Source organism: Homo sapiens, chromosome 1 (genome assembly GCF_000001405.40).
Source record: "Homo sapiens chromosome 1, GRCh38.p14 Primary Assembly".
NCBI lineage: Eukaryota > Metazoa > Chordata > Mammalia > Primates > Hominidae > Homo > Homo sapiens.
The window spans coordinates 231,356,982-231,384,310 of NC_000001.11; the positions used below are offsets into that span (position 1 = coordinate 231,356,982).

Sequence of the window (27,329 nt, forward strand, 5' to 3'; positions counted from 1 at the left end):
TGAGACTGCACCACTGCACTCCAACCTGAGTGACAGAGTGAGACTCTGTCTCAAACAACAACAACAACAACAACAAAAAGCTGGGCATGGAGGCTCACGCCTGTAATCCCAGCACTTTGGGAGGCCGAGGCGGGCAGATCACGAGATCAAGAGATCGAGACCATCCTGGCCCACATGGTGAAACCCCATCTCTACTAAAAATAAAAAAATTAGCTACTCAGGAGGCTGAGGCAGGAGAATTGCTTGAACCCAGGAGGCGGAGGTTGCAGTGAGCCGAGATTATGCCATTGCACTCCAGCCTGGCGACAGAGCTAGACTCCGTCTCAAAAAAAAAAAAAAAAAAGAAAATTTTGTTTTGCTTTTTGTAGACTATGGATATGCATATGCATATCCTAACTGGGAATTCTAAAGTGGAAAGGAAAATACTATGACAAAACTTCATACTGTCCCATTGTCTGATAGCTCTGAGATCATACTTTTAAAGCTTACAGGACTTTAAAATACGAACGTCAAAGTGAAACAACTGATGTACCTGCAAAACTAGCACCTAGCTGGACCCTTTCTGGGTGCGTGCAGTGTCAGCTCTTTTTATGTTGTGTTTTAAGTTTTTTATCCTGGTATTGCATTAATCGTGATCCAATGGTTTCCTTTTATTCTTCGTCTCAATTTTTTTTTTGTCCTTAAGGCTACTGTGGACTTTTTAGCAATTTGTTGTAGTTGTTGACTATCGGCATATTCACCAACAGAAGTGAAACTCTTCATATGACAATTATAAATTAAAGTGACTAAGGAGTTGAAATTAGAACAGAATGCAATGTGCAGATTAGCTCTGGCTTTTTCCTAGTATCCCATTAGAATGTTAGAAGTTATAATGATTACATATTTCATCATCACATATCTTTCGAAATGAAGAGTAGAATCTTAAATGACTCTGGACTGTAGTACAGAAGCAAGGTGCCATTTGTTTTCTTCAGTACTGGTGCTAAATTTACCAAGATTTACCATCTTGCTTAGTGAACACTAGGTGGTGCTCTTGGTAAGCCAAACTTCTGGCTGAGCCAAGCCAAGTGGATAAAAGAAACTTGCGACAACTGGAACACTAATTACCAGTTGATTCATAGATAGGAAAGAACAAGTTATGATCTCAAGTTCTGTGAGGGGACACGGCAGGCCAAGAATGTGTGCTTGTTCAAACAAGGACTGATCTACAGAACACTTTAGTCTCCCTAAACCTGTTTTCAAGCATTTCACCTTTCACTCTAAACATGTAACATAGTAGTCTCCTGCAAGAAAGAAACTGGTACCCAGACAGGGCAAAACAAGATCATGCTCAACCGGCTATCTATCTTCTAGACAAGGCAAGACCTGTACTTTTGTACTGTTTCTTATAGTACTCTAAACTATGTCTTTTTGCCTCTACCTGAGAGGTCTGAAAGAGCCAACAGGCAGCTTTTGGATTCTTGGTGTTAAGTGAATGTTAGGGCTGGGTATTCTCATGTTCCATGGTTATACACCTTTGCAAAAAAAAACACCTGAACACTGACTCTTCTCTATACTTCTGAAGAATCAAAGTTATAGGTATATTTTCAAGCTAGAATACTCTTGAGACCTAAATCATTTCCAGGTTGTAAGCATTCCTGGTAAACTAAATATATGATAACCTGGATTTGCATGAAAACTGGGAGGGTATTTTTTTTTTTAAACAAAAGATTTCTCATAGTACTCATATATGTATTTGTACGCCTTTAAAATAATTCAGTAGGTAAATATTGGCTGGGCACGGTGGCTCACACCTGTAATCCCAGGTCTTTGGAAGGCCGAGGCGGGTGGGTCCCTTGAGGCCAGGAGTTTGAGACCAGCCTGGGCAACATGGTGAAACTCCGTTTCTACTAAAAATACAAAAATTAGCCGGGCGTGGTGGTGGGCGCCTGTAATCCCAGGTACTCGGGTGGCTGAGGCACGAGAATTGTTTGAACCTACGAGGTGGAGGTTGCAGTGAGCCGAGATCGCGTCACTGCACTCCAGCCTGGGCGACAGAGCAAGACCCTGTCTCCAAAAAATAAATAAATAAATTATATATATATATATATATATATATATATATATATATATATATATATATATATATAAAATTTGTGTGTATACATATGCATACCTACACACGTCTAAGTGGCTTTATTTTTATATGGACCCACATAAGTTTGTTGTTAACACCAAACAGCCACCTTCATGGGATCCATGTGCAGAGGCTGGAGCCCAGCTTCTCCACATGACGTGAGTCACCCGAATTGTTGGGTTTGTAGATTGGTCTCACTGATGTACGGGATTTCATTGTGCAACTATACCACAAGGGAGCACGTGTGTGTGTCATACTTTCTAACCCTTCGTAACTGTTCTGTTCTTGGCTGCTTCCCTACCTTTTTTGCAATGCCCTTCATTATATTTCCACTTGGTCACCTTGTAGCTTAAATTAATTCATCTTTTTCAATTTCTTTGCTGAGTTACTTCAACTTTTCTCAGCTTCCTCTGTTTTTTCCCCCCCTTTGGTCCATTTTTGTTTTGAGATTTAAATTTCTAATTTCACGTTAATTTTTATTTCTGCAAAGGCCTATTTAATTCATACTAGATATTGGTAGTTTTCTTCTGCCTGTGGTTGAGAATTTTCATCAGCTGTAATTGATTCTCATTTTTTCTTCTAGTAGTTTTTATGGATGTTATCTTCCTTTTTCTGCTCATATTAAAAGGTTTTATTTTCCTTGTCTTGCAAAACCAGTTGGTTCTCTGCAGGCAGGGACAAGGGGTTTGTGTGGCCGAGTTCCTTGATTCAGGAATGTTCTGTTGATAGAGTTAAATGGTACCAGTTAAGTGCTGGCAGTACATGTGCGAGCCACCATACCTGGTCTGTCTTTTCCTTTCTACTGCCACTCTAGGACCCTGCTGCCCCACGTCTTTACCCTCTAGTTTCCACCTGACTCTCAGCCCTCACGAGGGTTCTGACGCTGGCTCTAGTGTCAGATGTGCTTTTCTCTGCCTCCACGTAAATTGAAGTTTTTTGGCCAAGCGTGGTGGCTCAATCCTGTAATCCTAGCAACTTTGGGAGACTGAGGGGGACAGGATCGTTTAAGCCCAGGAGTTCAAGACCAGCCTGGGCAACATAGGGAGACCTCGTCTCTACACAAAGTAAAAAAAATTACCCAGGCATGGTGACAGGTGCCTGTAGTCCCAGCTACTCGGGAGGCTGAGGTGGGAAGATCGCCTGAGCCTGGGAAGTCGAGGCTGCAGTGAGTCCCGATCATGCCACTGCACTCCAGCCTGGGTGGCAGAGCAAGACCTTGTCTCAAAAAAAAAAAAAAAAAAAAAAGACAAAGTTGGATTTTTTTTCTGTCTCATAGATATGCTGCAGGCACAGATTATGGTGACTGCTGTCTTTTGTCTTTATGGTTTTTGGAAGACTACGATAGAGCTTTAGATTTAGGAAGCAGCCAATATTCCTTGGAAAACCAGAAACTCAAGTACCTTCCTCTTAAATGTAAACACACAAGCAAGAGGTACCAGACATTTAAGGAAAACTTCTAGCATGAAAGAAAAAAAATTGAAACAGAAAAAAGTTAAATACTGTATCAATTAAGAGATTATTACATATATTTTCTTAAATTCGAGAACAAAAAAGAGCTCCTGAAATTTAGGAACCTGACAACAGACACCATATACTCACCAGAAGAATGGGAAAACAGATGTCCCCAGTCAAGACAGATACACAGTAACTAGAGAAGAAAATAGGTTCAAACCAGTAGAGGTCCTGCCTGGACAAAGGAGTGCCAGAAAGAGAGAACAGAGAATGGATGGAGAAAATTTAAATGTCCCAAAATGGTGGGGTGATTTTACAGTCTGCATTCCTAGCACAGAGGTTGACAAGTGGCACACATTAAAGCACACTATAAAACTATGGCGCCCTGGGGATAAGAATATTCTATGAGCTTCCACAAAGAAAAAGATTACATATAAAGAATCAGAAATAAGAATGGCTTCAGATTTCTCAGTATCTACACACTGGAACCTAGAACCAGTGAGGCAATGCTTTCAAAATTCTGGAACATGATTTCCAAAGTTACCAATGAAATGTGGTGGTAAAACAAAGATATTGGTCTCAGAAAATTTACCATCCATACATTTCTACAGGAAGTATTAGAGGGCATGCTCCATTCAGTAAACCAAGAAAGATGAAGACATGGGATCCAGGAAACAGGAGAGCTGACCGAAGAGTGGTGAAGGAAATCTCTAGAACACAGGTGAAGGGAGACCCAAGAAAGACAGCTGTGCCCCAGGCGTTAAGAGCAACCAGTCCAGATTGGTGCAAGTTAGAAGCCACAGGGAACAAACGAAAAATCAAGACATTAAGGGAAAAAGTAAGTTGTGGAAGAAAAGTCAAGTCAACATGATTTCCTGTATGTCTCAGCTTTGACTAGCACAGCCATAACAGGAACACGAACCTGATCTCGGTTACAGCATAGGAACAGAAGGAAGACCAGGGGAGATGGATGTCTGCTTGCCTATGTGTGGTAGAGATGGTGGAGGAACCTTGGAGAGAGATCTGCCGTGTGGAGAAGTTAGGAGAAAATGCCTAACACTGAAAAAAATCAAGAGGCAGCAATCCAATTATATTATTTAAACTAATGGGTGGGGAGATATCCAAAGAATCATTTAAAACAGTTGACACTTGTTTTCTCAGGGGAAGAATGTGAGGGACTACTTTTTTTTTTTTAATTAAGAATTTTTAAAGGCAATACTTTTTTTTTTTTTTTTTTTTTGAGACAGAGTCTCATTCTGTTGCCCAGGCTGGAGTGCAATGGCAAAGACTCACCGCAACCTCTGCCTCCCAGGTTCAAGTGATTCTCCTGCCTCAGCCTCCTGAGTAGCTGGGACTACAGGTGTGTGTCACCACACCCAGCTAATTTTTGTATTTTTGGTAGAGACTGTGTTTCACCATGTTGGCCAGGCTGGTCTCGAACTCCTGCCTCAAGTGATCTGCCCGCCTTGGCCTCCCAAAGTGCTGGGATTACAGGCTGAGCACCGTGACCAGCTGGGACTACTGTTTTTCTTAACAACCACAGACAAGTTGATTTAGCCACTCGAACAAAACTAAACAAGGAAAGCTCACACTCAATTCCTGGCTCTCTACCACTTACAAGCTTTGTGACTGTGAGCAAGTCACTTCTCTGATCCTGTTTTAATTACAAATGGAGACAAAATTTGCTTTGCCTACACTTTGCATGTACTAGGGAAAAAAAATGTAAAGGTATTTTGTAGAAGACATTTGGAATAATTTTGGCAGAAAACATCCTAATCTCAATGAAGGCCCTATCTAGTAACTTTCTGACCCCAATGACATCTTGTTCAGAGCAAAAATTATCAATAATTTTTGACAACTGTTTAGTAATTATTCAATAAAAAGAGCTTTAGCTACTTGCAGCTGTTTAGGCTCTCCCCATCTTGTGAAGTGGCTGACATTTAGTGTGTTCTACTTATGAAACTATTTCCAGCTCATGAGGCCATGCCCTTCACACATCTCATTGGTCCCATTGGTCCCATGGTACATACTTGAGCATCGCCATGGTTCAGATAAAATTCAAACCAAAAACATAATCTGAGGGATAAATTCATGACCTGAGAAGTCTAAACAATTATCTTTTGAAGCAATGGAGACTAGTTACTTCTGAATATTTATAAACTAATTGAAAAAATCCAACATACAATTATGTTATTAGATATGACATAAATATGTATCATTGCAGTTCATACCCAAATACAGCTCTCTTTCTTGGATCACATGCACTTTTGCACTTTGGGAAAATAATCTGATGAAGTGCCTTGCACCAGTGACTTAATTTAAATCTAAGCTATAAAATAAGACCTGTCATTAATAAGACAACACTCCTGCTTCCAAATGATTCACATTTACAACTGATAAAACCGTTAGCTATTCAAAGCTCATTGCCCCAATTTTCTCTCTCTGCAATTATGCTATCATATTGTTAAAGGAAAGGGCAATAATCCTCGTTGAAGGCCTACTTTGTTCCATGCATTGTAAGGTACTTTGCACACTGTATTTCATTTAGGTCTCATACAACTGTTTAAGGTGGAAGATGTGCTTTTTGTATATAAAAAAGCACATCTCAAACTTCATCTCAAACTCATTTGCCCTTTACTTCAATCCACCCAGCTATATTTTAGTGTAATTCCCAAATGTTCTAAGAAACGCTGGAAAATAACAAAACACTGTGGAAAATTTTTCTTTAAATAACAGATATATAAACAGGTATTTTGATCTCACCTTAATAAGAGCTCTCATATTTTAGTTATGACCACACAAATTAAACCTTCTTGCATATACACAATGGTACATCTATGACAATTAGAGATAAATGCCTAACCCCACTTCCTTTTGCAGCAGAGGGGTGATACAGATCTGTCAACAGCTATGAATGTTAAAATAATTTTAAAAATCCTACTAAAAGGGCAAGAATTCAAGTGCTGAGAATCCAAACAGACTTCATGGATCCCACAGACAGTCCAATGACCCCAGGGATGTTTCTAAAATTGTTGAACTCCTATGTTTACTGTTCTCTTTCCTTCATTATCATTTACAAAAAGTTATAACAAATGTCCTAGACTAAGCCAGAAAAGCTTTATCTGATGAAAGGGATCATTCGGAAAGCCAATGTATGATAAAGGATTGAAAAACAAAAAAGACAGCTGGAAATAACCACCATAATGTTTCAACAACATTTATACATCTTTTTAATTAGATTAGCTTTACAAGCAACTTGAGAGCTCTTTCATAATGAAACACTGCTTTTCAAATTACATGACTTTATAGTCTATCTGTATATGAATCCTGAAAATCTTTGCCTACTCTTGATAAAGGTCTGTGTTTTACAGCTGGTTAATGTGTTGAATAAAAACAGCATTATGAAGCTTTATCTTTAACCAGGATTAAACACATATAGGCCACAAACAGTTTTAAATTTTGTTTGAAATAGAGTCCTGCTTGGTGACAAGTTAATAGTCCCACTAACATGAAATGAATGGATATTAAATAAATGGCCATCCTGATTTCTTGATCTTTTCACAATGATTCCTAAGAGAGTATATAAACTTTTCCAAAAAATATACAATTTAAGACCTGTCTGGCAAGCACAACCCACAGATAGTAGAATCTAATACTTTTTACAACTGTAGAGGTACACATTTGAATGACAACAGGGGCTCCCAAATTAAAAGGCTGTGGCTGTACATTTTGACAATCAAACAAACCTCCCATCAACATAAAACAATTTCTACTAACCCTAAAAAAGATAATGCTTTTGAGTTGTGGCCTAACGCCGCGCACTGTACTATAGACCAGATGGCAAAGACAACTTGCGCTCCTGGGTTGGGCTGGCAGAGGCACTTACTGTAGAGATGTGATGTTATCATCTGGAAGGAAGGGGAGGAAGTAGAACAAAACTGAATATGGGCGAGGAAAAAACAATAAACTATCACTTTCTCCTGCAAATTCTCCTAAGTGAGATCACTATACTGAACATTCAATCCCATCCTAAGTCCACTGTTGGCTTCACTACACAATTTTTTTCCATGTTTTACATGAATAGCAATGGCAATCTTTTAATAAAAATTACTGAGCTTCCCATAGAAAAGGTCTCAAATTGAATACAAACTATACAGATGCTAAAAATGTCTTAAGTTGAAATATACAGAAAATTTCTGTATACTCACATTTTGGCAAAGAAGATCAAGGACAGAGATAGAAAACCTAAGTGGGCAAGGTCTTACACCCATAATTCACGCAAAATATGGATACCACCCTTTAGGTTTTGCTAAAAAGCCTAGGAAAGTGAAGTCTAAGACATCCGTCCCAATTCATTCTTTAAATAACATGTATGTGAGGCCTTGTGTGATTTTCTAATATTCCTTCCTTGTTTAAAAAGTAAATAAGAAAACCCATGAAACAAAATAAAATTATCTGATTTTGCATCTGTTTTGTTTTTTTCTAAGCTAAGCATCTTTCAGTACAGGTAAGAAGGCTGGCATCACATCTGGGAAATGCCTTAACAGATATCTGAGGAGTTACTGCACATTCCGTCAGTAACACCACACTTCAGTTTCAATGTGTACATAATCTCCCCTTGATGCTCTTCAACAGAGACAAGGTTCTTGTCTGCAGATCAGATAGATCACAGTATTAGGAAAAAAACATAACAGCAAATTTGGAAGTACAATCAATTTAAGGAGAAGCAAAAGGAAAAGACTTAGAAATGGGACATTATTGTCTACATCTAGAGGATACATACACCTGAAAGCTTAAGAAAGCCCTTATCTTAGGAACTTGAAGCTGAGGATAATCTCAAGTTCACTTAGTGCCAGTCACTTTAGTTTTTTAAAAAATTTAACTTAAACCCCAGCCTAGGCAACATGGCAAAACCCCGTCTCTACTAAACATACAAAAATTAGTCAGGCATGGTGGTGTGTGCCTGCAGTCCCAGCTAGTTGGGAGGCTGAGGTGGGAGGATTGCTTGAACCTGGGAGGCGGAGGTTGCAGTGAGCCAAGAATGCACCACTCCCCTCCAGCCTGGGTAACAGAGCAAGACTGTCTCAAAAAAACAAAACAAAACAAAAAAATTTAAACTCTTCTTGTGTCTTTTTCCTTGTAAAACATTAACTAAAAGTTATTGGTAGTAAATGGTGACTGTTTTACAATTAGGTTTCGTTATTGACAATGTCAAAAAAAAAGCAGCAATCTTTAACAGTTCAAATTAGTGTAAGGAAGGACTACAAAACAATCTGATTTTTCAGTTGTAATTAAAGTGCTCCTTTTCTTATTTTAAGTAAAATAAAATTAATCATCAGTCACTGGCAACAATCATTATTAAGAGGTCTTTTAGGGCAAAATTTAATAGTATGAACAGGTTTACAAAAATAGATTGATGTTATTTTGAGGAATAATACTGTAATTTTTTCTCAATTCAGTTTAGATAAATTGTACCTAATATAGAAAAATTATCCCAAATTCAAACTTGATATAAAAAAGGGAGAGATGAAATGAACTCAGCTAGATAACAGATCTGGCAAAATATAAGAATGAAAAAAATTCTACACAGGGCACTTATTTCATATCCAGATGTAAAAACCATTTTCAATTAGTAGCTTATCTTCCTCCTGTAAGCAATCACAGATTTGAAGTTGATCATGCAGTACAAAGTCACAGCAGTCAAAATCTTCTGTTTGATGCAACACAAAAAGTTGTTTCTGTTTCCTTATTAAAATGCGAACTGGTTGTCTATTTTTCTTTATCCCATTTATTCGTATTCACAAGTTAACAAATAGTTAACAATATTGTAGGTGAAGTGGGGTATTGCTGGATCAAAGGCTCTAGAAGACGTCTTTACCGACCGAATCTGAAGGTTTATTGAGTTCAACCCTCACACCTTTTTCACCTGCAAGGTAAAAAAAAAAAAAATTTTCATTCATTCACTAAGCACCAGAGAGCTTCTGCTACTGCATTCCACTGAATTCCTAAGAGTATGGACAATATTTCAACTTTGCAAACATCATCTGAGAACTATCACGCTTGTACTTCCAAAAACTTCCCTCAGCATTCTATTGTGATGAGGTTTCAAATAGTAAACCTTCAAGGATAAAACCATCCTCTACACAGAGATAATGATTTTGTCTTTTTATTTTAAAAGCCATTTGAGTTTCTTCAACAGAGTGTTCAGTGTCTCTGAAAGCACACTGAGCTTGTGCCACAAATAATGGCTTTAAAAATACATAGAAAATGCATGAATATTCCATTTTTATGTAAGGTCGACGTGCGATTAGCAATGGCTCTGGAAAACACAGCTAATCAGTAATGTGAATACTCAGTGGATTTTTGGAGATAGAAAGTAGAGTTAAAGAAAAGAAGGTAAGTGGTCCATCAGATGGGAAACAGACCCCCTGCTCTTGGAGAGGCAGTCCATAAGTGGAAGAGAAGGGGAACTGGCATAATTAAAGGATCTTCAGGTTCAGTACAAGAGTGCTGACCTATGTACACCATTAGCAGATATGGAATCTACATGTCTGTGTCATTTACTGATTTTGGCATTTGAATTCATAATTCTTTGTATTAATTTTCTTCATGTCTACATTTAACATGGAAGACCTAGAGTACTGTTTAGAGCACATCCATTTGAAAAGGAAAGGGTATTAATTTAAGGAGTGAATGAGAGGAAACCATATGGCCGTTACCTAGAGTTAAGTGGCCTTTGACTGAAAAGGATAATCACAGAAAACTCAGTTTGTATGTGAATAATTTACTCAGACTTCTTTGCCTCAAATTTTCCACATCCTTTGACAATTTTTTTGGTTAAAGATAACAGTGAAGATGACTTATGTCTTCTTAAAAAATGAGGCAAATAAGAAATCTGATAAAAAACAAAAAGTAAGTATTCATGGTGTTAACAAAGACTATGCTTGAGTTTCCTGAAAGCATCACCTGATTGCAGGGTATTTCTGTACCAATATATCCTGGCCCCAAATGACGTTTACCTGTTAGATATTTTACTTTAGCTCGTGCTCTCTCATCTGCATCAAAATACCAAACAGTTATTGCGTACCTAAAAGAAAATTTAGAATAGGATAAGAATGATCACACTGCGGGGAAAAAGTGGTATTTTGCTGCAATGGTATATTAAAACTTGTAATGCCAAAATTATGCCTAAACTGGAATGATATCAAAGGATAAATTTAACAGCTTATTTATACAGTAACCAGGGGAGACTAAAATTGATGTCTGAAGTTGATGAGTTTTTGTGACTTTCTTAATACTTATTTCAACTACTTATTTTTTGCAAGGGAACTGCAGATCAGAAAGAGACAATAGGCCGGGCACAGTGGCTCACGCCTGTAATCCCAGCACTTCGGGAGGCCGAAGTGGGTGGATCATGAAGTCAGGACTTCGAGACCAACCTGGCCAATAGGGTGAAACCCCATCTCTACTAAAAAAAAGAAAAAAAAAATTAGCCGTGCATGGTGGCACATGCCTGTAGCCCTAGCTACTCAGGAGGCTGAGAGGCAGGAGAATCGCTTGAACCCGGGGAGGCGGAGGTTGCAGTGAGCCGAGATCATGCCACTGCACTCCAGCCTAGGTGACAGAGTGAGCCTCCCTCTAAAAAAAAAGAGAGACAATAAAAGGGTAAAAGAATGGCTGTTACAGAAAAAGCACATTATCAATAGCACAAGTACTAAAAGAACAGAAAAGAAACAGATAAAAGGACTCAGGGCATTGCAGGCTAACAGTTTCAACAGTCTCTGGGGACATCACTACATTATAGCAAAGAGTAATGATGGATGTTTACAATTATAACCTTGACAGTTAAATTATGCTAAGAATTTTTAAGGATTTTAATCAAAGCAATTATACTGTGTTTTGTGTTTAAACTTTGTCTAAACTTCATTTTTCTGAAAATCTGACTTAGAATATTTCATTCCACCAATAAGTGAGGCATCTCTAGTTTATTAAATACTACAAAAGACATACTTTCTGATACAAATAATGGGGAAAATGTATAAACGCTATAGGAAGTGAAAGTACGCTACAAATCACCAGTTCCTGGGCAGAATATAGCAATTAGTTCAAATATATTGTGGATTGTGGCCAGTGGACACAGGGGAAAAGGCAACATTTATCAGACATACAGCCAGTAATATGACAGAATGAAAAATCACATAATGTATTTTGAAGTAAAGAGTCTGGGAGTTTGGACAACTGGGAGCCTGACGTTTACAGACCCCACCACTGGTGAATCACAGAGCTGAGGTCTAAGGAGGTCTCCTGACTTCCAGACCAGACTCTGCTCTTTCCAGAGTTCCACTACCTTTCTTACCATGTGGCTTCTTCTACTTTTGGGTGGCCTTGGAAATAGGAAAGGGCTCAGATACATAATTTTATGTATCTTTTGCCCATGCCCTAAACTTTTAGTCACTTAGCAATCAGAATTCTAATATCTGGATCAACAACTTACCTTATGTCATTCTAACTTTCCAGCCTTATCACCCATTCTAGATAAGATCAGAATAGGATTCTACTTCAAGAATCCTTTTCGTCGCATGATTTTCCATGCCTTAACTTGAACAACTACGCCTTTTCCCCCAGAACTTTACTAACACGACTGCACCCCTTGCCTCTCCTCACCTAGGCCAGCTGAGCCTCTCCCTTCAAAGCGCACTTGCCCGTCTCTCCAATGTAGCACCACCTTCGTTCCTCAACTCCTGTAGCACTTAGCCTCCATGCCATCTGGCATTTATTTACTATAAACTCCCAAGTATCTGTTATTTATTCATCTAAAAAGGACGTAACCAAACCAAACTCAGGATTTCATAAAAAGGAAGGTCTATGAGGCAGTTACTGTGTCAGAAAATCTTTACAGAAGCAGCAGGGGGCAGAGACAGCACTGGGATGCCACTGGGAAGAGACATGGGATTGAAAAGGGCACATCATGTGATGTGACAGTCTTTCTTTGGTTTCCATTCAGGATTTCTTACAATCTCCAGCTACAACCTGCTTAGCTTGCTACTCAGTACGTGAATTAGGATGCAGGCAACACACCTCAGAAGGCAGGAAGAAAAAAGGCACAGCTGATAATCAAGTCGTTAGAGTCAACCATCATTACTAAAGCCAACTCTCCACCCAGCGCATCTAAGCCTGTGCCTCTTCTTGCCACCCTAGCATCTCCTAAGCCAGATACAGCAAATGAATGCCGGAAGCTCACTATCAGAATGTTCCAAGACCTTTCCATAATAAAAAATAAGTATTTTTTTTTAATGTGCTATTTTTCTACAAATATTTACTTTCATGATAATGTCTACAATATCTTGTTTTCACAGCCAGAGCATTTTAATTGAGTCAGGATAAATGGTTTTTAAAAAAGCATTTGAAATAAAGCACTAAATATAATAGGTTGCAAATACCTTGTAGAAAAAGTATAATGAAACAGATGCTCATTATTTGTAAAGCTAATAGGATCATTTTTCTAACATTAACTCCCACACATGGTAACCTGTTCTCTACTTTTCTTTCTTCTGTTTTTCTCTTCACTTCTACTCTCTGGTTACCTCTGATTTTTCTACTCTGTATCCATTTTCCTATGTTGTCCCTCACCACCTTTTAAAAAACCCTTTTCCTTCTTGATCTTTCTCTCTCCCAAGTAAAATACTCTTACAAAAATCAAAGCATGGATAGTAGTTAAGAGATGCACAAAGCACGGAGAGAGTGCTAGAAAGATGGGAAGGCCTGTGCTTCCCTTTCTTCAGAGTGGCTGTGCAAAGAAAGACACATTTAGTACTAACTGTTAATGAGTCTTATATAATTATTTGAATTCAGATGACTGTGCAACATAAATCTTATACAATTATTCAAATTAAAATGACTGTGAAAAGTACCTGGCAGGAAAATACTCATTAGAAAGCTTTCACGTTTACTCTACAGATTCCCTCCTGTCCTACCATACTCTAAACCAATTTTTTCTGAAAAGGAATACTACCTTGTAGCATATGCTGGTTGTACTTCATGAGGGTTGCGACGGTCAGACCAGAAAAACAGCAGTCTATCAAATTTGGGTTCAATGTCAGCAAACTGGGCTTTGCCTTCTGGAAAAATTCGAAGTATACCTCCACTTACCTAGGAAAAGAGCCAAATATGTAAGCAGGAGTAACCAAAAATGCTACAAGATTAAATTTAGGGGGAAAAAAAGAGACAATTTCAATGTCTTAATTGGATTATTCACAAATACGTCTCAATAAAGTATGAAGATGAGCTGCAATTTTAAAAGTATATGCACTGATGCAAGGACAAATTTAGTTCTTATTTTAGGGATATTTATTTATTTATTGAGATGGAGTCTCGCTGTCACCCAGGCTGGAGTGCAGTGGCACAATCTCAGCTCACTGCAACCTCCGCCTCCTAGGTTCAAGCAATTCTCCTGTCTCAGCATCGCGAGTAGCTGGGATTACAGGCATGCGCCACCATGTCCAGCTAATTTTTGCATTTTTAGTAGAGATGGGTTTTCACCATGTTGGCCAGGCTGGACTCGAACTCCTGACCTCAGGTGATCTGCCCACCTCGGCCTCCCAAAGTGCTGGTATTACAGGTGTGAGCCACTGTCCCCAGCCATTTTAGGGATTTTTATAAATATCTGATGAAACACAAGAATGTTATCTGAATTTAAAAGTCTTAAAATGATGCTTGAAAGCTTTTAAAACTACTAAACGTTTATTTTTGTATGTTAATGATTTGCTTAACCCACCCTTCAAATAGATAGATTTCAAGAAATTTTGACAAAATTATTATTAGAAATAAATTATGTCAAATAGTTTACCATACTTTAAAATTCAATAAACAATAGGATAGTCACAAATACCTCTTACTTAAATAATTCAGTATATCAGTAGAAAGTGTCATCATTTATTATGACCATCATTATTGTCGTCGTCACCATCACCATCAGCATATAGTTCATTAGAACCTGTGGCTCTCCCTTTCCAGACTGGGCCTGATGCACAGATGACTACCTGCTTGTGAAACTTGATTCTACCCATAAAGGATTATTATTTACCTAAACACCAACTAGGCATCAAATCGCACTGGGAACTGTGGTGGGCTCTGGGTGCAGAGTAGGGAATAATGCAGACAGACTTTGTCCTTGCGGGGTTTACGATCTGGGGATAGGCAAAACCCAACCAACCAAGTAGCTCCTTACTCTTGAATAACTACACTCCTAAGCAGGTAGACTCTTAAAATTTAAAGAAACTCTAACACCTGGTCAGGACAACATGGCGTTTGAGCCTAAACCTAGAATCTATAGTTAAAGAAAAGGTTTATCAGGCTCACTGTCAGGTAAGTTAAATTCTAGCTACTTTGATACCCTTGCCAACCTTCCTCAGGTTCCAGTGTTGTTCAGAGTGATTCCCCAGGCTACTATGCAAACATCTAAAGAACCTCCAAACTGAGAACATGTCTTCTTTCCTTTTTTCCTGCTCCCTTCCCTTTGACTCAAGTCATTGGGAGTACCACAGGTGACCTGCTGAAAATGTTTTAAGTGAAATGGCTACTTGACACTTCCACTCTTCCTCCTCTGAATTAGGTGGCCCTCCTGTGTGCTCCATAGCAATCTGTCTTGACACTTTGCATAACTATCTGTAACTGTCAATCTTTCTGATCTGTATCCTCCAATAGATCCTAAGCTCTGCCAGGGCTAATTCCGTTTCTGCTACATCCCTAGCATCCAGAACAACTGACACACTACATATTCAGTGCAATCTAGCATGGAAAATTTCTATTCTACACACAAAAACACTAGGGACGTTTCTCTGCCTATGTCCTAATTTAAAACCTACACATTAATGACCCTGACTAAGTATTATAGAAATTATAAGATCAGCCTAGAAAAAGCCTAACAAAATCTAGAAGTTAGAAGCTGATGAAACACAGTTCTAGCTTTCTAGCTATTCACAAAATCTGAAAAAAAGTCAATTTTTAAATTTTAACTAAAGTTACACCCATCTGTTTTGTGCCTTGGGCTCAAATTCAATTACAAAATTTATTTCTCTACTTCAAACTTTGAAAGCTGTAACAGAAAAACCATGCTTGTTGACATGCCTCAATATATACTCAGCAGAAAGGTCAGCTCCATTTTGAACCTGGACTAGGGCAGAGAAAACTCTTTAAATCAGTGTGTTTTAGAAAGATTAGTGAAGCACTGTGAGCATATTCTAAACTTAAAACACTTTTTAGGGCAGGATTAGGTTTTTGCACATTTAAGACTCAGGCAGTTTCCATTTGTGTGTTTTGGGGGATGCAGAGAAAGAGGTTTTTTAAAGGTTATTTGACTTAAAAACAACAAAAAAAGGCACCCTGGCTACACAGGTATGTTCACTTTGTGAAAATCCACTGAACTATACAAGCCACTTTTCTATTTGAATGTTATACTTAAGATTTTAAAAAATCAACCAAAAAATTAGTCTGTACAGTCTCTAGTGTAGTAATATATGACATATTTTTTAAAAATCATTTAAATTTAATGAGACTCAGGCTAATATTAAGGAAATATATATTTAAAACAAGAGAGATTAAATATATTGTACATTCTAATTGGTTTTACAGGGCTTGTCAGTACTGATAAACTTCCAGTTTTTTAATAATCAGGGAAAGACTGAATCCTGCCTCCAATATTCAATTAAACAACTCAATGCCATATAATATTTTTACAAAAATGCCAAGAATAACATAGCAAATAATCCTTAACAATTATCCATAGATAATCTCCCCCAAAAGCCATTATAAAACAACTGTTCTCAGAAATGTTTTTCTAAAAACTATTAAAAGGAAAATATTTTAATAAAGGTCACCTTTCTAAAAAAGTTAGATTTTAGATAAGTGCTCTAACATCTGAAAATAAATGAATCCACTTTTTAAGATATATCAGTACTTTTTTATATGGTTTTGAGGTATAACTGATATACAAAAATGCATATCTTTAACATTTACAATTTGATGAGTTTGGATATATACGCACACCCTCATGACACACCACAACCAAGGTAATAAACATATCCATCACCTCTCAAAGTTCCGTTTCCCTTCCCCTAACCTCGTGTGTGCGTGTGTGTGTGTGTGTGTGTGTGTGTATGTGTGTGTGTTTAGAACACTGAACATGGAGTCTACCCTCTTAAATTTTTAAGTGCACAACACTACGTTGTTAACTACAGGTATCATGTTGTATAACATAGAGTAGTATTTGTTTCATTTTACAAAAATCCACTCCTAATACCTGAGACTGAAACAAATTTAAGAGGAAAATTTTTAACTGTGTCTGTGACAGTCTTATCAGAAGTATGAAACTTAATGCTTTTGAGAAAAAGACACCTGTAAGAAAAAAATAAATGCTCAATTAAGTTGCATACCTTGGCATCCCAGTCTTTATTAAGATAATATATACATGTCACACATCTTCCATCTCCATTTGGATTATCAACATGACGTACATAACCCGTTCCATTGCCCGGATAACAAGCAACCATGGCCTGTAATAATGATAATAATGATTATTAAAGTCCATGTATAAATAAAAAGAGAGAACAGCTAATAAATCAGATCTCTGATTTTTGGCTACTGATTTACACTTAGATTCTTCTAATAAAAATAATATTTTGTAGATAAGATAAGGCTATTCTACATTAACATTTATAGGGAACACAAGATAGGTTGATGAACAAGGACTGGTGAATTCTGCTTCACAGTGATAACTCCAAAGATCAGAAAAATTTCTTGGTCCTACTTTGACAATCTTTATAAATACAGATAATCAAGATCAAGTACGTTTTTGTCCTGCTCCATGGGAGATTTCAATCTTCCTTGAGCTCACCTCAGAACACCTACTTTACCATCTGATAGGTGAACCAACCCAGTCAACACCCCATCTGACACTGTCTCTGAATGGTACCAATTTTTTTTTTTTTTGAGACAGGGTCTGGCTCTGTTGCTCAGGTTCGAGTGCAGTGATGCAATCATGGCTCACTGCGGCCTCAACCTCCTGGGCTCAGGTGATTCTCCCACCTCAGCCTCCTAAGTAGCTAGGACTATAAGCACGTGTCACCAGGCTGGTTAATTTTTGTATTTTTTGTAGATATGGTGTCTTACTATGTTGTAATAGGGATAATTTAGGAGGTCAACTAAACTCCAAACATTAACTCATTTAGTGTCAGTGATTTTTTTTTAAAAAAAGGACTAAACAAATTAGCTTATGTTTACCCTCTTTCAATCAGAAAGAAAATTATTTGCTCAGATTATAACAAGATATGGTTCAGAAGACTGTTGGATGTTAAGCTTAAAGGTAGAAAAGAGGCCCAAAATAAAAAGCACAAAATAACTTCCATATTCTAGGTGTACATGATAATTAACTGAAATTGGTAATGGTATTTTTTAAAAAATTCTCAGGAATTATGAAGAAAACAAACAAAGACGTTCAAGGTTATGAGCTATTCTTGTTTTTGTTTGTTTTTTTACAGAGTCTTGCTCTGTTGACCAGGCTAGAGTGCAGTGGCACGATCTCAGCTCACTGCCTCCACCTTCCAGGTTCAAGCGATTCTCCTGCCTCGGCCTCCCGAGTAGCTGGGATTACAGGTGCATGCTGCCAGGCCCGGCTAATTTTTGTATTTTTAGTAGATACAGGGTTTCACCATGTTGGCCAAGCTGGTCTTAAACTCCTGACCTCAAGTGATCCTCCTGCCTCAGCCTCCCAAAGTGCTGGAATTACAGGCTTGAGCCACCACGCCACCCGGTTTGTTATGAGCTATTCTTGAAGTCCTTTATTTCTTCATATAATAAAGTCAATGAATTAGTATAAAGTTATCAAACAGTAACCGAATTGTTCTACTATCATATTAAAAGAAAAATGCTAATTTTTAAAACTCACTTCCCATCCCTAAGAAACTAAGAGGCATCTTAAACCTAAATCCTTATTTAAAAATCCTGTTTCCCTAGACACTCTGAATTCACTGCTCTTTATAAGCAGCAGAATTTTTGGAGAACATTATATATGTCTCTGTTTTTCCTGATTCCAGACAGACTTAACAAGTTCCTTCTTTCAGCACTGGAGGTTGGTAACAACCAGGAGTGTGGCATGGGCTTAGTGGGTTTAAGTGCTCAATAAATGATGAGCCCAAATGATTTTCTTGTCACTAGCTACCCAGGAAAGAAGTTTACCTTGAATAGTAACTGTAAGAGGGTACTAATTTAACAATGCAATTACTCCATTTGTGGTTAACTGAAGTAATTATGATGAATTACACAATATATTGTTATTCATGGGAAAGAAGGGGGAAACCTGAACTCTACATCTCAAAAAAGTTAATTTGGGCCTTTCCAACTATCTGGTAACTTCAGCATCTCTTGTGTAAAGAAGGAAGGGGAAAATATTTGTCAGTCACTCACCCCATCACATCCCATATATCCATTTAACAAATACCTCTTGAACATCGACTATGTATATGAAAGGCACTGGGGCTAAAACGATGAACCAAAGAGAAAAGGTCCCTTGCACTCATTTACATAGTCCCTCCTTATAAGAAGTTTTGCTTTCTGTGATTTCAGTTACCTTTGGTCAACTTAGTCCAAAAAATTTAATAGAAAATTCCAGAAATAAACAGTTTATAAATTGCACACCATTCTGAGTAGTGCACTGAAATACCTTGCAGTCCTGCCCCGTTTTGCCTGGGATGAATCATCCCTTTGTCCAGCATATCCACACTGTAGATGCTATCCACCCATTAGTCATTTAGTAGCCTTCTAGGTCATCAGAGCAATCGTCGTGGTACTTGTGTTCAAGGAAACCTTATTTTATTTAATAACAGCTCCAAAGTGCAAGAGTAGCGATGCTGGCATACTGTTATAATTGTCCTATTTTACTGTTGTTGTTAATCTCTTACTTTATAAATTAAGCTTTATTATAGGTATGTATGTACAGGAAAAAATATAGTATATTAGGATTTGGTACTATCCACAGTTTCAGGCATCCACTTGGTCTCGGAAGGTATTGCCCTCAGATAAGAGGGGACTATTGTACTATGAAATCTGGTCTAACAGCATAATTAGCCAATAAACAGATATATAATGTAATGTTAGGTAGTGAAAAGTTGTATTTTCTTAAGATATGAAAAAAATTAGGTATATAGAGAAAGATGACATGATATTCTTGAACAGTGGTTGACATTTGGGTTTAGACTTAAATGAAGGGAGCGGCAAGTTGGGCAAATCTCTGAAGAGAGAGCAATGTGGCAGAGGGAAAATGAGTGCTCAAAGGCTGAACAAGGCAGGAAAGAGCAGCAGGCCAGTGTGGCTGGAACACAGCGAGCACGGGCCAATGTGATCAGAGAGGAACCAGGTAACCTAGAGCTGCAGGGCTTGGTAAGCCACAGGAAGGCCTTTGGATATTGTGCTAAGAAGGGCCAGGAAGCCAACAGAGAATGTATCTGACTAATGTTTTGAGAATATCAGTTTCAAGTCTGTATGAATAAAAACAACCACAACAACCTCAATATCTCTTACCACCTAACATTTATGGGACATTTACTGTTTGCCATGTCCTATCTAAGTAATTTGTGCATAACAAGTTGTCTGACACAACCATGTGAGGTAAACAGTATCACTGTTCTCATCCTCATTCCTCTAAACTGAGGTTTAGAAAGGCTAATTAGTATTCGCAAAGTCACATGACAGGGAATCTGGTTCCAGAACCCATGGAATTAACCACTGTACTAGACTGCAGGAAGCAAAGAGTGAAAAGAGAAGACTAAGTTAGCTATTAAAGTTTCCGGGCAAGAAACCAAAGAGGCTGAGCCCAGAGTAGCAAAGTGGGGTGTATTCTGAAGGCAGAAAACCAACATGATTTGCTAATGAGTGGAGAGTAAGAAGAGTCAAGAATGACTACGGGGTTTTCAGCCTAGGTAAGTAAATGAATGGAGTCACTGTACATGAAAATGGAAACACTAGGTGAAAGAGCAGTTTTAATTACAAGCATCGGGTAGGAGAGGAGTTTATCGATAACTGTCAAAATGAGCCAGACATCCCAGAATAGAACAAAACTGAGGGCACCAGGATTATCCCCCAACCGGGGATCTGTTTGTATTATTCACTTCTAAACTCTTTCCTTAGAGCCCTGGAGCCCTAGGGAGGTATCTAGGGGTAGGGGACTAATTGGGAATGAAGTGATATGAGAAGAGGCCAAACAAGCAGGTTTTAACCCCAACCTTAAACTAGAGGCAGTGCTTAGCTGTTTCCTATACAGTATTTGAATTCCAAGTGAGGATTCTTTGAAAAAATAAAAGGCAGAGTAAAGAAAAGTTTTAAATCTCACGTTTTGAAGAAAAGTTTTAATAAATTTAATGTAATTGTGTTAAGTTCTATAATTCCCAGTATAGCTCAATTATCACCATCTAAATGTATTATTTAAAAGTGGCCATTACCACTTTAGTCTTATCTGGCATTCCCTAGGTCCCTTGTGCTCTGCTCTGGTGACAGGAATACTGAAAAATGAGGAGAAAGGAAGAAGGGAGAGGGGATGAGTGCTCCACAGGGCCTGCATGGATCTGCCAACCCAATTAACTTGCCAATACCAGCCCCAGGAAAGGCAGCAGTTCATGATTATAATTGTAAAAAGAATAACACGAAAAATACCAACATAACCCTATAAACCAGAAAGCCTGAAAAAGAAACAATGCAATCCACCACTATATAATTCTGAGGTAAATTCCTAATTTGCCACCTTATAGAGACACCAACTTTAAATGTTTCAATTTCCCATCGAGAAAAACCTATTTATACATAAACAAAACAAAACAATACTATTTTTTTCTTTTCTGATATGAAAATATATATGATTAAGGATGTTCTTTTTTACGTTTTCAGAGACAAGGTCTCACGACGTTGCCCACGCTGGTCTTCCCCTCCTGGGCTCAAGCAATCTGCCTGCCTCGGCCTCCCAAAGTGCTAGGACTACAGGCGTGAGACACCGTGCCTGGCTGATTGAGAATGTTCTTAAGATAGGAAACAGCATAAATTTGTTTTTCACTCTGAGAATAAAAGGAAGGAAGAGGTCCGCAATGCCTCTGAGGAATCTAGAGACATTTATTTCTAGCATTAGAAGGCTTCAATATGAAGCTGAACCAGGAAACTTATTTTTCTTTTTTGAGCTGAATTATTTTAAAACAGGGATACAAAGCTTAGAGAACTAAACTTTGATGGGTTACAGAACTATTATTTTTACCCTGAATGAAGGGAAAAGGTTTACTATCTGAAAATTTATCCTATTAAACTATATTATCAAAGCACTATGCTTTGACATAGCACTATGCCTTTTGTAGAGGCTGACAGCTAACATTTACTAATCACTTATAGGCCAGGCATGGATTACCTCGGTCATTCTTTACAGCAAACCTTAGGTAGGCACAATTTCTCCCCCCATTTTAGAGACCAGAAAACTAAACTGGAGTGAAAAGAAAAAAATTGCCGAAGGTCAGAGACTCTAAATGGCAGAGGCAGGATATGAACTGAGGCAGAGAAAAACAACTTCCTTCTGTATTCTTCTTCAATTCCTTGCTCCAGTAAGGCATGTATATAGTCCACCCAAGAGTTCAGATGAAATTGGTAATCCAGACTCGTAAGCGGCCCACCACCTGCTGCAGTGGCACATGCTCATGCCTAATGCCCAATTCTCCCATGTCAAGATGTACAGTAAGTCCTCACTAATAGCCTCGATAGGTTCTTGGAAACTTTATGTGAAACAATGTATAATGAAACCAACTTAAGTTTCTACAGCATATTTGTGGTCATAAAACATTGCCAAACTTCTAAATAAAGACCAAAACACTTCTAATGGTAAACCTTGAAATAAATGTGAGCTATATACACATTTAAGAAAGATTAATAAAAACAAGGTAATTATTTATGCCATTAGTCCAGTTTTAGGGTTGCAGGTGGCTGGGGCCTATCCTGGGAGCTCAAAGCACGAGATGGGAGCCAGCCTTGGGCAGGACGCCATTCTACTGCAAGGTGCACTCACACACACCCATATTCACTCACACTAAGATAACAGATACGTCAGTCCACATCCCAAAGATGCACACATTGGGATGTGGGAGGAAACTGGAGCACCTGAAGAAAACTTCGCAGACATGGGGAGAACTTGCATGCTCCACACAGACATTGGCCTCGGCCAGGAATTGATTCTTTATCCCTCATCAACATTATAACAAAACGACACTGAACAGAATAATGTTATTCAAGAACCTGCTGTACTGCACATGGTATTTTTCAGTTCTACAGTTAAATCTTTTTAAGTCTCTTCCCTGCCCACTTCCAAAGCACACATACACATCACTATCACTACCTTGGGGGTCTACAAAAATCTAGTTCAAATACGGAAGAAAACAGGTCATGCTGGAAGGCCATCCAGGTGGGGATGTTCAAAGGGCAGTTGGAAACTTGTGTGGAACTCCAAAAAAAAGTCATGACTGGAAATGTAAATTTAGGAGCCATCTTCGCATGGGATAGCTGAAGCCGTGTGCCTGCCACAGATTGCCAAGGGAGTACAGAGAGAAGAGAACAGAGAACAGATTGTCATGAAATAAAGTCATTTAGAATAAGAACTCCTTGAATGGCGTGAACCCGGGAGGCGGAGCTTGCAGTGAGCGGAGATCGCGCCACTGCACTCAAGCCTGGGCGACAGAGCGAGACTCCGTCTCAAAAAAAAAAAAAAAAAAAAGAATAAGAACTCCTTAAGCCTTGCTGCTTTCTTGATCACAGTAAACAACTCAGTGGTCAAAAGCTGACTTATTATAAATGATTTCTGACTAATTTTTTGACTAATTCATTTCTAAGTGTAAATGATAGGTATATATATATTTTAAAAAGACATATAAGGGCATATAGTTTCCTTAAAAATTAGAAAAATGCTATTATAATAATATTGTGATCAACAATAGTTTTGGAGCTTAATCTTTGTAAATCCTTGATATTTTCCTAAAATTAAATTACTATAAGTGAAATTATTAGGTCTTAAAGCTTTCTGATTGCTGAAATGTTCTCCAGAATTATTGCATGAGCTTATATTCCTACTGGCTTTGTATGAGTGCACACATCTTTTTAACCATTTGCCAACCCAGCATAGTAAGTTTTAATCTTTGAAAACAGCTCAATTTGATAGGTAACATTTATCTTACTAATGTTTTAATTACATCTTATATTTTTAAGTCAGCATTTTTCATATTTTATTGGCCATTTAATTCTTCAACTGCTTGCTCATATCCTTTATCCACTTTTCTACTGGGTTAATCTTTTCCCTACTGAGTTATTATTATTATTTTAGAGACAGGGTCTCACTCTGTCACCCAGGCTGGAGTGCAGTGGCGTGATCATGGTTCACTGCAACTTTGAACATCTGGGATCAAGCAATCCTCCCAAGTAGCTGGGAGTACAGGTACACGCTACCACACCTGGCTAATTTTTTAATGTTTTCTAGAGATGGGCTCTCACTACGTTGTTCAGGCTGGTCTTGAACTTCTGGTCTCAAGTGATCCTCCCACTCTGGCCTCACAAAGTACTGGGATTACAGGTGTGAGCCACCACACCTGGCCCCCTACTGATTTTTAAGAGCTCTTTGGTTGTTAACCGCTGTCATATGACACAACAACAATTTCAACCTTTTTACTCTGCTTGTGTGGAAGAGTATGTTAATACAAAGTTTTTATTATCGGTACAGGAAGGCAGAATATAATTATATTAATTATCAATGTAAAGTTTTTAAAAATCCAAGATTCTTCCCATGTTCATAGAAATATGAAAAATACAGAAAAACAATGAAAGATTATTGAAGAAGAAATAGCATTGATCCAAATCACTCTCCAAGTGGCCCAAGAATTATGAATTGTTTAATAATCTAACACCAAACTACTTTCCTTATTAGGCTCTAATTCTAGCCCATGATTAAAAAAACTTAAATATACACTTAAAAATCAACTTAAGTATGATGCTCCCGACAGTATAATCTAGAGATATGTCATGATGCCTTAGTACTCTCTGAGCTTTCATTTCCCTTTTAGTGAAGAATTGATAAAGTTATGCTTTACAAATAAGAAATTCATCTGGTGAAACACATTATATTTTGAGCTGTCTAGCTCTGCTGTCAGAACAGAGATCTACAATTTGTTAACCTCAGCTATAATCTTACCAGCACTGCACAACTCTTTCTTAGATTCCCAAGCAGGGCTCTGTATTTATATCACACACACCACTCCCACTGCAAACTTCATGAGGAAGACAGAGCAACCTCTCTCCACAAGGAGACTGGGGATCCTGAGCAGGTCTCAGCTTGATCCCCACCCAGGGAATTATACAACCTCATTCTAGCCCATGCAAGGAAGTATCACTGTTAAGACAGATATTCTGACAGCTATGGCAAACTTGCTATATTATTAATATAATTCGTTGGAAGAGTCTGCAATTCGGCATTAAAAACAAAAATACAAACAGAACAAAACACTTAGCTGCTTGACATTACAAACATACATTCTGGCACTTCTTGAGGCTCACTGAGCAGGTACTGCACTAGGCATGAGGATACAGAGATTAAAAGTAAAACATCTGTTTCAATTCCAGGGTCTAGAAGAGTTACGATTTAAATTCCTTAAGTTATTTTGGCACAAACAGTGTAATTATTATTTGTTTTAATGGACTAGAGGACATGAGTGAGAGGTTCCTGACATTCATCCTGGAGCACTTAGTTAACATGCAAGCCCAAGACTGGATATAAATAATCATCAGTAAATGAGGAAAGCTTGTAATCAAAAACCCTACTCCAGTGAGACAACTCAAGAAGCCTTATCTCATCTCAAAGCCAGAGAATTTAGTAATTAACATAGTGGATATTAGAAATTATGACAGTATTAGAGAAGAATGGTACTCAAGAAAGGTGTTATGGCTACACACTGTATAGGGACCACTGCTCTTACATGAACATATACATGAATCTAGTTAATCTAATGGCCTACTATTAGGGACTGTACCCTGAGCCTTATGACTCCTGCTGGTTCTGTTAGTTCCCCATAAAGGAATTCTGTTATTTGATTCCAATTAGGTTCAGCTGAATCCTAAAAGCACACTAGCATTTTTGCCTTAAATAAACCTTCCATAAAAGGTGCTTGGCAGGCCGGGCATGGTGGCTCAAGCCGGTAATCCCAGCACCTTGGGAGGCCGAGGCAGGTGGATCATCTGAGGTCAGAAGTTTGAGACCAGCCTGGCCAACATGGTGAAACCCCATCTTTACTAAAAATACAAAAATCACCCAGGTGGGGTGGCACACGCCTGTAATCCCAGCTACTCGGGAGGCTGAGGCAGGAGAATCGCTTGAACCTGGGAGGTGGAGGGTGCAGTGAGCCGACATCGCACCACTGCATTCCAGCCTGGGCAACAGAGCGAAACTCTGTCTCAAAAAAAAAAAAAAAAAAAAAAAAAAAAAGGTGCTTGTCAGATGTTCTAAAAGCATAGAGAGTAGGAATTTTATCCACCTAATAAAACAGTATTTTTGTGCTTGCTTCCTAATAAATTTTTTTTGTGTGTGGCAGAACTCAGTGTGAGTTTTGCTTTCACAGTAACATGCCATTTAGAAGCTCGGTTCTGGGGGAAGAGATTTGTAACACTCATTTAACTGTAGCCTCCAAAGAACAGCAGTACCTCTCAATAAAAACCTAATACCCGTAAACAACTACTGGCTCAGGTCAGGTCACAACAGGCAAACAGTTATGCAAAGGCACACAGTACAGTGTAATAAACACCAGAACAGAGTCTTACTTACACAAAGTACCCAGACAGCAAAGACATAATTAACTTTGTCACGGGAATGGGGATCAGAAAAGACTTTATAGAGAAAGTGACAAACGTGCAGAATTTTGAAAGACAAAAATAGAAGTTTTCCAGAGTAGAAGATTCTGTTCTGTACAGGGAAAAGAATATTTGCAAAAACAGAATCAATATGGTGCCTTGAGAGAAATGCAAATAGAAAAACTGTTGGAAGATGAAGTGCAGTGTGGAGCAATAGGGATGGGGCAGGACAGACAGGCAGGGGCAGCTCAAAAAGGCTCTCACTGACTCACTGGGGAACTTTACCTTACAGGCCAGTGTTGGCCAACTGTGTTCAGTAAGAATCGCTTGGGTTACTTCCTAAATTATGATGATTCTTATGCCCTCTGCTTGAAATTATGACTTATCAGGTATGGCATGAGGCCTGAGATCCCGTACTTTTTTTTCTTGACAATTATTCCTTCATAAGAGATCCTGTACTTTAAACAAGCACTTCATTGTAATTGGCAAAAAATCAAAAATAAAGAGTTTTGAATAATAAAATCATTTTTCCATTTTACAAACATCACTCAATCTACTTGTAGAGGATGGCCCAGATGCCACGAAATAAAAGGTTATGGACACACTGCTAATAGATGAGAGTCAGAATAAAGGGGAGTGAGAATGGAAAGGACAGGGCAGCTTAGAGCAACAGTAAGAGTGTGAAACAGAAAGGATATGGTGCTGGCGAGAGAGAAAGAACTCATTTAAAAAAAATTAAACCCTAAAAATATACACTATGTGTTCATTCAACAAATATTTTCTGAGCACCTACTATACGTCAGGCACTGTTCTAGATCTTGGGGATACACTACTTAATAGAAAAGATACAAAGTTACTGCCT

At 38.2% G+C, this 27,329-nt stretch overlaps 1 protein-coding gene and 1 long non-coding RNA gene across 5 annotated transcripts in view, besides 1 other annotated feature; one reads left to right on the forward strand and one right to left on the reverse strand.

Moving 5' to 3' along the window:
• On the forward strand, positions 309–12,862 carry LOC107985360 (uncharacterized). The gene is made up of 2 exons (XR_001738520.3): positions 309–4,406; positions 12,573–12,862. It is a non-coding gene; the product is annotated as an uncharacterized LOC107985360 (long non-coding RNA).
• Positions 6,775–27,329, reverse strand: part of EGLN1 (egl-9 family hypoxia inducible factor 1) — a 58,532-nt gene continuing 37,977 nt past the window's right edge. The window contains exons 2-5 of one of the 4 annotated variants that reach the window (NM_022051.3): positions 16,999–17,118; positions 13,581–13,717; positions 10,588–10,655; positions 6,775–9,494 (exon numbers count right to left, since the gene is read on the reverse strand). In NM_022051.3, coding sequence (NP_071334.1) covers positions 9,430–9,494; positions 10,588–10,655; positions 13,581–13,717; positions 16,999–17,118 — 390 coding nt within the window. In that variant the 3' untranslated portion in view covers positions 6,775–9,429. Of the gene's footprint in view, positions 9,495–10,585; positions 10,656–13,580; positions 13,718–16,998; positions 17,119–27,329 lie in introns of those variants that run through there. The other 3 variants (NM_001377261.1, NM_001377260.1, XM_024447734.2) reach the window with 3 other exon arrangements.
• Positions 20,128–20,187: an enhancer, noted in NCBI's record as "active region_2729". NCBI's record gives its function as "activates an Ori minimal core promoter by ATAC-STARR-seq in GM12878 lymphoblastoid cells {active_cell/tissue: GM12878}" and the evidence as "EXISTENCE:reporter gene assay evidence [ECO:0000049][PMID:35858748]".